The sequence below is a fragment of the Homo sapiens genome, chromosome 7, assembly GCF_000001405.40.
Source record: "Homo sapiens chromosome 7, GRCh38.p14 Primary Assembly".
Taxonomy (NCBI): domain Eukaryota; kingdom Metazoa; phylum Chordata; class Mammalia; order Primates; family Hominidae; genus Homo; species Homo sapiens.
In genome coordinates this window covers 65,006,770-65,019,993 of record NC_000007.14, presented here as the reverse complement: position 1 = coordinate 65,019,993, position 13,224 = coordinate 65,006,770, and the positions used below count along the sequence as shown (strand labels likewise).

Sequence of the window (13,224 nt, the reverse complement as noted above, 5' to 3'; positions counted from 1 at the left end):
GCTCTATCACCCAGGCTGGAGTGCAGTGGTGAGATCTTGGCTCACTGTAACCTCTGCCTCCTGGGCTCAAGTGATCCTCACACCTCAACCTCCCAAGAAGTTGGGACTACAGGTGTGTGCCACTGCACTCGGCTAATCTGAAAAACATCCTTTTTGGAGCAACGGAGTTTTGCTATGTTGCCCAGGCTGGGTCTTGAACTCCTGGCCTCAAGCTTTTCTCCTGCCTTGGCTTCCCAAATTGTTAGGATTACAGGAATGAGTCACTATACCTGGCCACTTTTTTAATGGAGAAGAGTCCAAGAAACACTATTTCTGATAAAAACACCAGCTAAACTCTTTAAATGTTGCTTCTTTACACTCTCAATTTTCTCCCTTTATCTCTTAGCATCAAATTTCATTTAATTCCTCTAGATACAACTTCCCTTCTTTTTTTTTTTCCTGGAGACAGAGTGTCACTCTATCCCCCAGGCTGGAGCGCAGTGGCATGATCTCAGCTCACTGCAACTTCCGCCTCCTGGGTTGAGTGATTCTCCTGCCTCAAACTCTCCCAAGTAGGTGGGATTACAGGCACCCACCACTGTGCCTGGTTAATTTTTGTATTTTTAGTAGAGACAGTGTTTTACCATGTTGGCCAGGCTGGTCTCAAACTCCTGACCTCAAGTGATCCACCTGCCTCAGCCTCCCAAAATGCTGGGATTAGAGGCGTGACCAACCGTGCCCAGCAACTTACTATTGAAGTAAAACAAATACATTCAAAACCAGGGAATAACATTGACTGACTGATACTCTGTATAAGACTTCACAACTGGGCCAGGGGCGGTGGCTCACACCTGTAATCCCAGCACTTTGGGAGCCTGAGGCAGGCAGATCACCTGAGATCAGGAGCTCAAGACCAGCATGGCCAACATGGTAAAACCCCGTCTTTACTAAAAATACAAAAATTAGCTGGGCATGGTGGTGGGTGCCTGTAGTCCCAGCTACTCGGGAGGCTGAGGAAGGGAGAATCACTTGAACCCGGGAGGTGGAGGTTGCACCACCGCGCCCAGTGTGAGAAACAATCTCCCCTGTCCAAACACAAAGAATGGACTCGGATACCCAGAGAAGAGCGAAAGTAAGACTTTTAACGATGGTCTTGCAGGATCGGGTGTCTGATAGGCAGGCACACTCAGAACAGTTTCAACAAGCAATTTATCCTCTTGTGTGCAGGTCCCTCCCATTTCCTTATACATAGGCTGAGTACTATGGGGTCACAATCTTCCTGGATGTCACCTATTGGTTGTTGGGTAGGAGCTTTAGGTGGTTTTTTTTGTTTGTTTTTTTAAGATGGAGTCTTGCTCTGTCATACAGGTGGGAGTGCAGTGGCGCAATCTCGGCTCACTGCAACCTCCGCCTCCCAGGTTTATGCCATTCTCCTGCCTCAGCCTCCTGAGTAGCTTGTATTACATGTGTCCGCCACCACGCCCAGCTATTTTTTTGTGTGTGTTTTTAGTAGATACGGGGTTTCACCGTGTTAGCCAGGATGGTCTTGATCTCCTGACCTCATGATCCACCCACCTCGGCCCCCCATAGTGCTGGGATTGCAGGTGTGAGTCACCATGCCGAGCCGTGTATACCCTGTTTCTTCTGTAGTTTGCTGACCTAATCTGATTTAAGGCACTTTGTCTTGGAAATGGACCACTGTATACATTATTTCCTTTACCCAGATAACTTTAAATTTTTTTTGTAGAGATGGGGGTCTCACTCTGATGCCCAGGGTTGTCTTGAACTCTTGGCCTCAAGTGATCCTCCTGCCTCAGCTTCCCAAAGTGCTTGGATTACAGGCAGGAACCACATGTTCAGCCATCTTTTTTTAAAAAAGAGAGTTTAAAGGACTCCAACTAGGAACTAATGCAGTAATCTGGGCCAGATATGATTCTAGCTGGGTTGAAATAATGACCAAGATAAAAAGGAGGAAGACGGGAAAGGCTGGGAGGGGCACAACCAACGGGACTTGTAAGTAAGCAGATCTGGTGACAAAAGTCAGGGAAAACAAAAGAAGACTCCCAGGTCTCCAGGTGACAAGGCCAGACCTGGTATATGGTAGTGCCATATACCGTATATACCATATATACTGCCATATACCAGACGGAGAGGGGAGTGCACACCACCACACAGCTGGCCCACACACTCTGGCTGCAAAAGGCCAGGAATCGCATGCTCTCCAGCTTGCGGCCTGAATTTGGACAACTCACTCACTCTCACTGCCTGTCTTCACAATTTCAAAATGAAGTTAAAAAAAAAACCCTTCTCTAACTTGTTTTGCTTTTTTCTGAGACGGAGTCTCGCTCTATCACCTAGGCTGGAGTACAGTGGTGCGATCTCGGCTAACTGCAACCTCTGACCCCAGGGTTCCGGCGATTTTCCTGCCTCAGCCTCCAGAGTATCTGGGATTACAGGCCTGCCACCATGCCCGGCTAATTTTTTTGTATTTTTTTTAGTAAAGATGGGGTTTCGCCATGTTGGCCAGGTTGGTCTCTGACTGCTGACCTCAGATGATCCACCCTCAGCCTCCCAAAGTGTTAGGATTGCAGGTGTGAGCCACTGTGCCCGGCCGGCCTCCAGCTTGTTTTAAGAATCCAGTAACATCACTATGTTTAACAATTGGCTTAGATATTCAGAAGCTGCTGATGTGAATGTTTAATGAATTCTATGAGTAAAGAAATTAGATCAAAGTAAGTGGATTCCATGTAGCCGAGAATGATGTCTTCTGGATATTCCACCTGGTAACCCCTCCTTCAGCGCACTATGCCCCTTGACAAACACCATGGGGAGCAGGGACAGAGGAGGTGGGTGGGGAGCACAGGGACACAGGCACTGACATCCGCCTCTGCATTGCCCCCGTCCCGTTCATCCCTTTCTATAATACAATCATTTAACAATTGTTTCCCATGTGTAAAATATTTGCTTCATTCAATCACAGAACAGATACTTGATGTTCAAATTTACTGAGGAAGAAACTGTTCACTTGCCAAATAGGAACTTAAAAAAATCAACAACCCTTAATTAGCTGTATCATTGAAGTAAAACCAATGTGAGGGATTTAGTGTTTAGTCAGGCAAGCCTGGTTGGCTTCTTGGCTTCCTGTCTTCCCCATTTGTTCCTCCTTCTCAAAGTGTGGATTTCATTTTCAAACTGGGGAAAAGAGGGGTTCAAGGTGGGAGGCGGAGGCAGGAGGATGGCTTTAGATCAGGAGTTCAAGACCAGCCTGGTCAATATAGTGAGACCTTGTCTCCAGAAATTTTTTTTTTTTTTTTTTTACTTAGCTGGGTGTGGCTGTATGCCTGTGGTCCCAGCTTCTCAGGAGGGTGAGGCAGGAGGATCACTTTAGCCCAGGAATTTGAAGCTGCAGTGAGCTGTAATCATGCCACTGCACTCCAGCCTGCGTGACAGAGCAAGACCCTGTCTAAAAACAACAACAAAAAAGGGCCAGACTCAGTGGCTCACACCTGTAATCCCAGCACTTTGGGAGGCTGAGGCAGGAGGATCTCTTGAGGCCAGGAATTCGAGACCAGCCTGGGCAACATAGTGATACCCTGTCTCTATATTTTTTTTTAAAAAAAGAGGTGTTTGGGAACTTCCAGTATGTAGACGTCCACTGCTGAAGGGCTGTTTTGTGTCATAACCAAGACACATGGCCTGAGAGCCTGTGATGATTATTTGTGTTTGTGCAAACTCCAGAGCAGCCCAAGCTCCTAGACTAAGAGACACTCCACCCTGTTTGTAACAGTCTTGAGCAGACATATGAGGAGACAGAGGTCATTGTCTCCAGCATCAAAGGAATGAAACAAGATGTTGATTTTAGAGCCAACACTTTCCCAAGAAGCCTCCACAGTGTGACCTCACAGGGCCTCTACCGGCACTGAGTGTCAGAATTAAGGCATCTGAGGCTGGGCCACATTCTAGTAGAGGCCCCACTCAAAACGTGGCCTGGGGTGATCAAAAGATGTTGATGTGGCAGCTCCTCACCAGATGTCCTGCTCCAACTCTTGCCCTTCCATGTCCAGTCTCTTGACAAGAGCTGAAATGTTCTTTTTAGTGTTTTTGTTTTGTTTTTTCTTTGAGATGGAGTCTTGCTCTGTTGCCCAGGCTGGAGTGCAGTGGCATGATCTCTGCTCACTGCAACCTCTGCCTCCCGGGTTCAAGCAATTCTTGTGCCTCAGCCTCCTGAGTAGCTGGGATTACAGGTGCCTGCCACCATGCCCGGCTAATTTTTGTATTTTTTAGTAGAGACAGGGTTTCACCATGTTGGCCAGGCTGGTCTTGAACTCCTGACCTCAGGTAATCCACCCACTTCAGCCTTTCAAAGTGCTGGGATTACAGGTGTGAGCCACCGCGCCTGGCCTTTTTTTTGTTTTTGTTTATTTCAGAGATAAGGTCTAACTCTGTTGCTCAGGCTGGAGTACAGTGGGGCAATCATGGCTCACTGCAGCCTCTATCTCCTGGGCTCAAGTGATCCTCCCACCTCAGCCTCTGGAGGAGCTGGGACTACAGGCATGTGCCACCACATCTGGTTAATTTTTTTTTCAAGATGGAGTTTCACTCTTGTTGTCTAGGCTGGAGTGCAATGGCCTGATATCAGCTCACTGCAAACTCTGCCTCCCGGGTTCAAGTGATTCTTGTGCCTCGGCCTCCTGAGTAGCTGGGATTACAGGTGCCTGCCACCATGCCCAGCTAATTTTTGTATTTTTAGTAGAGATGACGTTTCACCATGCTGGCCAGGCTGGTCTCGAACTCCTGACCTCAGGTGATCTGCCCCCCTCAGCCTCCCAAAGTGCTGGGAATACAGACATGAGCCACTGCACCTGGCACACCTGGTTTATTTTTTAAAAGTTATTTTTGGCCAGGTGAGGTGGCTCATGCCTGTAATCCCAGCACTTTGGGAGGCCAAGACAGGTGGATCAGATGAGGTCGGGAGTTCCAGACCAGCCTGACCAACATGGAGAAACCCCATCTCTACTAAAAATACAAAATTAGCCAGGTGTGGTGGTGCATGCCTGTAGTACCAGCTATTTGGGAGGCTGAGGCAGGAGAATTGCTTGAACCTGGGAGGCAGAGGTTGGTGAACTGAGATCATGCCACTGCACTCCAGCCTGGGCAACGAGAGCGAAATTCTATCTCAAAAAAAAAAAAAAGTTGTTTTTACAGAGACAGGGGTCTCTGTATGTTGCCCACGCTGGTCTGAAACTGCTACCCTCAAGTGATCCTCCCTCTTCAGCCTCCCAAAGTGCTGGAATTGCAGGCATAAATCAACATGCCCAGCCTTATTCTTTTTTAATTAGCTCAGTTTCAATTTCCTATTATAAAAATACCATCAAATAGAAAATGTCAATGTTAAGTAGGCTTTCCATGTAAAGGTGGCAAATCACAAAATCTCCCTTCCTTGATACTTATGCATTCATTCTTTTTTTTTTTTTTTTTTTTTTTGAGATGGAATCTCACTCTGTCACCCAGGCTGGGGTGTAGTGGCCCAATCTTGGCCCACTGCAACCTCTGCCTCCCAAATTCAAGCAGTTCTCCTGCCTCAGCCTCCCAAGTAGCTGGGATTACAGGTGTGCATCACCATGCCCAGCTAACTTTTGTATTTTTAGCAGAGACAAGGTTTCACCATGTTGGCCAGGCTGGTCTCGAACTTCTGACCTGAGGTGATTCACCTGCCTCGGCCTCCCAAAGGGCTGGGATTACAGGCATGAGCCACTGTGCCTGGCCCCTTGATACTTATTCATTCTAATGACATTTGTTGTGTGCCTACTATGTGCCAAGTACTATATTAGGTTCTGAGAATGAACAAGATAGGACTCCTGCCATAGGGAGCCTCTGTTCTGATTTGCCATGAGTTTGGGAGGAGGACATGCAGACAAGCAGTTCAATAAAAAACAAGTTGATTTTTGAGTGTGATATCTGCTTTGAGAGAACCAGGCAGGACGAGGCAATGAAAAGGATGATGATTCCCTCTTCACAGGATGAGGGAGGATTTCTCTGCAGAGATGATGTGTGAGCTGAGGTCTGAAACATGAGAAAAATCCAGCTATGGCAGGAGGTATGGGAAGTCCATTTCGGGCAGGGGAGAGCATGTGCAAAGGTCCTGAAGAGGGAAACCACTTGGCATTTACAGGAGCAGAAAAGAAGCCCAGATGCCTGATGCGCAATGAGCAAGAGGAAAGGAATAGAGGGTGGCAGACAGGGTCCGATCATGCTGGGATTGGTTTGTTTTTTAAGAGACATGGTCTCACTCTGTCACCCAGGCTGGAGTGCAGTGGGGCAATCATAGCTCACTGCAGCCTCAACCTCCTGGGTTCAAGGGATCCTGTCATCTCAGCTCCCAAGTAGCTGGGACTATAGGCCTGAGCCCCACCATGCCTGGCTAAGTTTTTTTATTGTTATTAGAGATGACAGTCTTGCTATGTTGCCTAGGTGGGTATCAAACTCCTGGACCCAAGTGATCCTCCCATCCTGGCCTAAAAAAGCACTGGAATTACAGGTGTGGGACACTACATCTGGCCAAGATTGGGGGTTTAAAAAATGCTTTACTTTTAATTTTTGTGGATATACAGTAGGTGTATATATTCATGGGGTGCATGAGACGTTTTGACACAGGCATGTAATGTGTAATAATCACATCGGGGTGAATGGGATGCCCATCACCTCAAGCATTTGTCCTTTCTTTGTTTTACAAACAATCTCCAATTATGCTTTTTTTTTTTTTTTTTTTTGAGACAAAGTCCAGCTCTGTTACCGGAACTGGAGTGCAGTCGCACAATCTTGGCTAACTGCAACCTCTGCCCCCTCAGTTCAAGTGATTCCCCTGCCTCAGCCTCCTGAGTAGCTGGGACTACAGGCATGTACCACCACACCCTGCGAATTTTTGTATTTTTAGTAGAGATGGGGTTTCTCCGTGTTGGCCAGGCTGGTCTTGAACTTCTGACCTCAGGTTATCAGCCCCCCTTGGCCTCCCAAAGTGCTGGGATTACAGGCATAAGCCACCACACCTGGCCTATTTAAGCTATTTTTAAATATACAATAAATTATTGTTTACTATAGTCATGCTGTTGTACTGCCAAATACTACATCTTATTCATTCTAACTGTATTTTTGTACCCATTAATCATTCCTGTGCACCCCCTCCAGCCCACTACCCTTCCCAGCCTCTGGTAACCATCATCCTGTTCTCTATCTTCATAAGTTCAATTATTTTAATTCTTAGCACCCACAAATGACTGAGAACATGCAAAATTTGTCTTTCTGTGTCTGGCTTATTTTAGTTAACATAATGATCTCCAGTTCTACCCATGTTGTTGCAAATAACAGGATTATATTCTTTCTCATGGCTGAATAATATTCCATTGTGTATATATACCACATTTTTTCTATCCATTCACCTGTTGATGGACACTTAAATTGCTTCCAAATCTTGGCTATTGTGAATAGTGTTGTAATAAATATAGAAATGCAGATATTTCTTCAATATACTGATTTTCTTCCTTTTGGGTATATATCTAGCAGTAAGATTATTGCATCATAAAGTAACTCTATTTTTCATTTTTTGAGGACCCTCCAAACCGTTCTCCGTAGTGGTTGTACTAATTTACGTTCCCATCAACAGTGTATCAGGGTTCCCTTTTCTCCACATCCTCAATAGCATTTGGTATTGCCTGTCTTTTGGATATAAGCCATTTTAACTGGGGTAGGATGATAGCTCATTGTAGTTTTGATTTGCATTTCTCTGATGATCGATGATGTTGAGCACCTTTTTATATATCTGTTTGCAATTTGTATGTCTTCTTTTGAGAAATATCTATTCTGATCTTTTGCCCATTTTAAAATCAGTTTATTATATTTTTTCCCATTTATTTTTTTTTCCACCTGAGCTCTTTATGTACTCTAGTTATTAATCCCTTGTCAGATGGATTCAGAATTGGGTTTTGACTTTTACACTCAATTCTAAATCATTAAATGCTGTCAAGTGGAGAACTGACATAATATTCGTATTGGAAGATCACTTTGTATATCAGCTATCTATTGCTGTGTAACAAACCACTCCAAGCGTAATGGTATAAAGTTACAATGATGCTTATTAGTCTTCTCACAATACTGAAGGCTGACTAGACTCACCTAGGCAGTTCTGCCTTTGTATGTTTTATGTGGTTGCCTTCAAACAGTATGCAGTTAGAATAGTCTCAATGGTTTCCTTGCTCAAATATCTCCTGGTTAATGTGGGCTGTTAGCTAGGGCCTCAGCTGGGGCTATCTGGTGGAACACCCACACATCACCTCCATACGTGGCCTGGGCTTTCTCACAAAATGGTGAATGGGTTCTAAGTGCATCCATCCCAGGAAGGACAGCCAAGTGGAAACATCTTTTATGACCTAACTTTGGCAGATCATGAGCAACACTTCCATTGTATTCTACTTATAGAAGCAGGGGACTAAGTTCATATTCAAGGGAAGATAAACTAGATTTTTTATTTTTTTTTGAGACAGAGTCTTGCTCTGTCACCCAGGCTGGAGTGCAGTAGCCCAATCTCAGCTCACTGCAACCTCCACCACTCAGGTTCAAGTGATTCTGCTGCCTCAGCCTCCTGAGTAGCTGGGACTACAGGCACAAGCCACCATGGCCGGCTAATTTTTGTATGTTTAGTAGAGATGGGGTTTCACCATGTTGGTGAGGATGGTCTCAATCTCCTGACTTCGTGATCCACCCACCTCGGCCTCCCAAAGTGCTGGGATTACAGGCATAAGCCGCCGCACCCGGCCCTATTGGTATATTTTTTAAAATATTTATCCATGTTGTAGCATGTATCAGTAATTCATTTCTTTTTATTACTGAGTAGTGTTCCATCATAGGGATATACCACAATTTGTTTAGCTATTTATCTGTTGGTGAATATTTGGGTTTTTTTGTCGTGTTGGGCAGTCACAAATAAAGCTGCTATGAATATGTTTTCATTTCTCTTGGATAAAACTCCAAGATTGGGATTGCTGGGGTTTTTTTTAATTTTTATTTTTTGAGATGGAGTTTCACTCTTGCTGCCCAGGCTGGAGTGCAATGGCGCAATCTCGGCTCACCGCAACCTCTGCCTTCTGGGTTCAAGCAATTCTCCTGCCTCAGCCTCCCTAGTAGCTGGGATTACAGGCATGTGCCACCATGCCTGGAAATTTTGTATTTTTAGTAGAGACGGGGGTTTCACCATGTTGGCTAGGCTGGTTTTGAACTCCTGACCTCAGGTGATCCACCTGCCTCAGCCTCCCAAAGTGCTGGGATTACAGGCATGAGCCACCGCGCCCAGCCTTGGTGGGTCCTATGATAAGTATATGTTTAACTTTATAAGAAACTGCAGTCCCAGTGTGGTGGCTCACGGCTGTTATCTCAGCACTTTGGGAGGCCAGTGCGGGAGGATTCCTTGAGGCCATGAGTTCAAGGTCAGCCTGGGCAACATAGCGAGACCCTGTTTCTACAAAAAATAAAAAATTAGCTGGGCATGGTGGTGTGCATCCGTAGTGCCCGCTACTCAGGAGGCTGAGGTAGGAGGATTGCTTAAGCCCAGGAGTTCTAGGCTGCAGTGGGCTATGATTGCACTGCTGCACTCCAGCCTGGGTGACAGAGCAAGACCCTGTCTCAGACACACACACACACACACACACACACACACACACACACACACACACACAAACAGCTGTTGTCTTTGCTTTCTTGTAATTGGGCAGCAGATCCTTTCTCTGATTCATCTTGGAATGCTGTTGTCTCTGTCCCCTGTATTTATATATTTATTTATTTTTGAGATGGAGTCTCGCTCTATCACCCAGGCTGGAGAGCAGAGGCATGATCTTGGCTCACTGCAAACTCCACCTCTGGCATTCAAGTAATTATCCTGCCTCAGCCTCCCGAGTAGCTGGGACCACAGGCATGTGCCACCACATCCGGTGAATTTTTTTTTTCTTTTGAAACGGAGTGTCTCTCTATTGCCCAGGCTGGAGTGCAGTGGCGTGTTCTGGGCTTACTGCAACCTCTGCCCCCTGGGTTCGGCGATTCTCCTTCCTCAGCCTCCCAAATAGCTGGGCTTACAGGCACATGCTACTACCACTTGGCTAATATTTTTGTATTTTTAGTAGCAAGTGGGTTTCACCATGTTGGCCAGGCTTGTCTCGGACTCCTGATCTCAAGTGATCCACCAGCCTTGGCCTCCCAGTGCTGGGATTACAGGCGTGAGGTACTGCGCCCACCTGAGTCTGCTTCTGTGTCTATGCATTTAGTTCTCCCAAGAGATTCTCTTTCCCTCTCCCTCTCCCTCTCTCTTTTCTTTGTACTCTGCTAATCAGGTTTACATGATTTCCTATCAGACCTGAATCTTGCAGAATTGAAGCCACAGAAAAGAATATGCTGACTCTGCAGTGCTTGAAGGGGGTAAAAATAAAGCATTACCTAGAGGAAGCAGTCTTAGGAAATTTTGCCTCTGACTCTTTTTTGTGTCAGTCCCACCAGGAGAGAGTGAAGCCAGTCTCCCTCTTTCCTGTTTTGTGTCTGGACTTCAATGTTCATTTCCTCATTCTCTCTTTCTAGTATCTTGCTCTTACAGAATCTACAGGTCTTTCTTGAAGAAATCTGTAGTCATAATTTTGTGCTCCATTTTTATTTAGGGGAGGAACAGGAAGAGAAGAGTGTGGCCTCCTAGAAATCTAGCACTGGAGAAAGGTAAGTTTGATTTGTCTTTTTTTGGTCTTGTTTTGGTTTTTTGCTGTCATTGTAATTTTTTTTATGCATTTGACTATTATACATTATACTGTTATACTATGTTGGCCAGACTGGTCTTGAACTCCTGACCTCGTGATCCTCAGCCTCCCAAAGTGCTGGGATTACAGGAGTGAACCACCAAGCCCGGCCTGACCTCTTGGCTATTACCAAAGTATGTTTGCTTCTGAGGAAGCTGGAAGCTGCAGCCACAATGTGCCTTTGCAGGGGAGCCTGAGAGCCACAGGTAAGGACAACTGAGTTAGACAGGAGGGATGAGGCCTAGGGGGAGGGCAGAGTGCATCACATTCCCCCACCCAGACCCACGGGCCACGGCATCATGGCCCCATGGAAGGCCCCACTCCTGTCTCTCTGTCTGTGTGATTCCCAGTTATTCCCATTCCCCCAACAGATAAACCTCCCAATGGATTCAATGCATACACTTTTATTAAATCTCACTCTGTCACCCAGGCTGGAGTGCAGTGGCATGATCTTGGCTCACTGCAAGCTCCGCTTTACAGGTTCAAGCGATTCTCTTCAGCCTCCTGAGTAGCTGGGACTACAGGCATGCACCACCAGACCTGGCTAATTTTTTTGTATTTTTAGCAGAAATGGGGTTTCACCATGTTGGTCAGGCTGATCATGAACTCCTGACCTCAAATAACCCACCTGCCTCGGCCTCCCAAAGTGCTGGGATCACCTGCCCCAGCCTCCCAAAGTGCTGGGATCACCTGCCCACTCCCTTGGTGAGGAGCCCCCTAGGGCACCTCCACCTCCTAGAGCACAAATGTTGTTGAGATGAGCAGCTTGAGACATGGTATGGACCTATGCGGAGGTGTCCCTAGACAATGATGGCATCAGAGTGAGAGGCTGGATGAGGATGTGTCTGGGGGAGCTTCGAGGTGCTGTGATATGTAAGAGATCATTAATTACAGGATGCCACCCCAAGGAGAATATGCATGGACCAAAGATGAGGGGTCCCCAGGAGGGTAAACCAATAGTAATGCCCCCAGATTCCATTCCTAGCCAGGCTCCCTGCTAAGTGACAATTAGAAAAATTCCTCTTTACAGAAAACAGAGCATCAATTAGGTCCCCAACTACAGAGCCAGTCCTCTACCCTCCAGTGAAACTTCCAGTGGGCAAGAAAAGCTTGGGAAAGCCAGAAGGAATAGGAACCACAGCTCAGGCCGGGCCGAGGCTTCATAAATCAAAAGGACATTTTTTTTTTAAGAGATAAGGTCTCACTCCATCACCCAGGCTGGTGTGCAGTGACCCAATCATGCCTCACTGTAGCCTTGAACTCGTGAGCTCAAGTTATCCTCCCAGCTCAGCCTCCTGAGTAGCTGGGACCACAGGTGCACACCAACACGCCTTGCTAACTTTTATTTTTATTTTTGAGACACAGTCTCGCTCTGTCACCCAGGCTGGAGTGCAATGGTGCGTTCTTGGCTCACTGCAACCTCCACCTCCTGGGTTCAAGTGACCCTCCTGCCTCAGCCTCCCAAGTAGCTGGAATTACAGGTGCACGCCACCAGGCCCAGCTAATTTTTGTATTTTTATAGAGACAGGGTTTCACCATGTTGGCCAGGCTGGTCTTGAACTCCTGACCTCAGGTGATCCGCCCACCTCAGCCTCCCAAAGTGCTGAGATTACAGGCGTGAGCCACCGTACCCAGCCCATGGCTAATTTTTAAACTTTTTTGTAGAGATGGAGTCTCACTATGTTGCCCAGGCTGGTCTCAAGCTCCTGGCTTCAAGCAGTCCTCCCACCTCAGCCTCCCAAAGTGCTGGGATTACAGGCATGAGCCACCATGCCCAGCCGCAGAAGGGCAATTATTACACAGTGACAGTGGAAGGAACAGAGACACAGTCGGTGGATGGTGGGAAGATAAGAACATTCACTCTGAGGGCTTCTAGTAACGTTGGAGAAGTGAGCATCAGCTTAGCAGAAGGGAGGGAGGGAAGGAAGCACAGGAGGTTTGAGGAGAGAGAGAGAGGAAGTATGAAATCAGAGCTGCACTTCAATGTGGTGGCTATTGGCCATGTGTGGCTACAGGATAGCTGGAATATGGCTGGTCTGAACTGCGATGTGCTAGAAAGGTAAAATACAGGGTTAGATTTAAAGATTTAGTTCCAAGAATATATACACTACATTAATAATTACATATTGCTCCTATACTAAAATAATATTTTGGATATATTGGGTTATTAAATGGTTAGAATGAATTTCACCTGTTTCTTCTTTCTTCTTAACTACTAGAAAATTTAGAATTCACACATGGCTCACATTTTATTTCAGACGGTTGCCTTACAAGGCAAATGCCGTCTGGGGAGGGCCTGGGTCAGCTCAGGGAGGAAGCTCTGCCTGAAAAGGCTTAGGGTTCACTCTACATTCAGCCCAGCATCTGAGCACGTCTTCTGTCAATCAAGGCCTGAGAGGGTGGGGCCCTAAACATTATCCAA

The 13,224-nt window shown here is 46.4% G+C and overlaps 1 long non-coding RNA gene across 1 annotated transcript in view, besides 1 other annotated feature; it reads left to right on the top strand.

Annotated features, from left to right (window-relative positions):
- Nucleotides 1-11,320, top strand: part of LOC105375330 (uncharacterized) — a 29,588-nt gene extending 18,268 nt beyond the window's left edge. Inside the window, exons 4-6 of the long non-coding RNA XR_927607.1 lie at nucleotides 10,671-10,725; nucleotides 10,869-11,008; nucleotides 11,283-11,320. This is a non-coding gene — a long non-coding RNA (uncharacterized LOC105375330). The remainder of the gene's footprint in view (nucleotides 1-10,670; nucleotides 10,726-10,868; nucleotides 11,009-11,282) is intronic.
- Nucleotides 13,047-13,216: a silencer, noted in NCBI's record as "silent region_18197". NCBI's record gives its function as "represses an Ori minimal core promoter by ATAC-STARR-seq in GM12878 lymphoblastoid cells {active_cell/tissue: GM12878}" and the evidence as "EXISTENCE:reporter gene assay evidence [ECO:0000049][PMID:35858748]".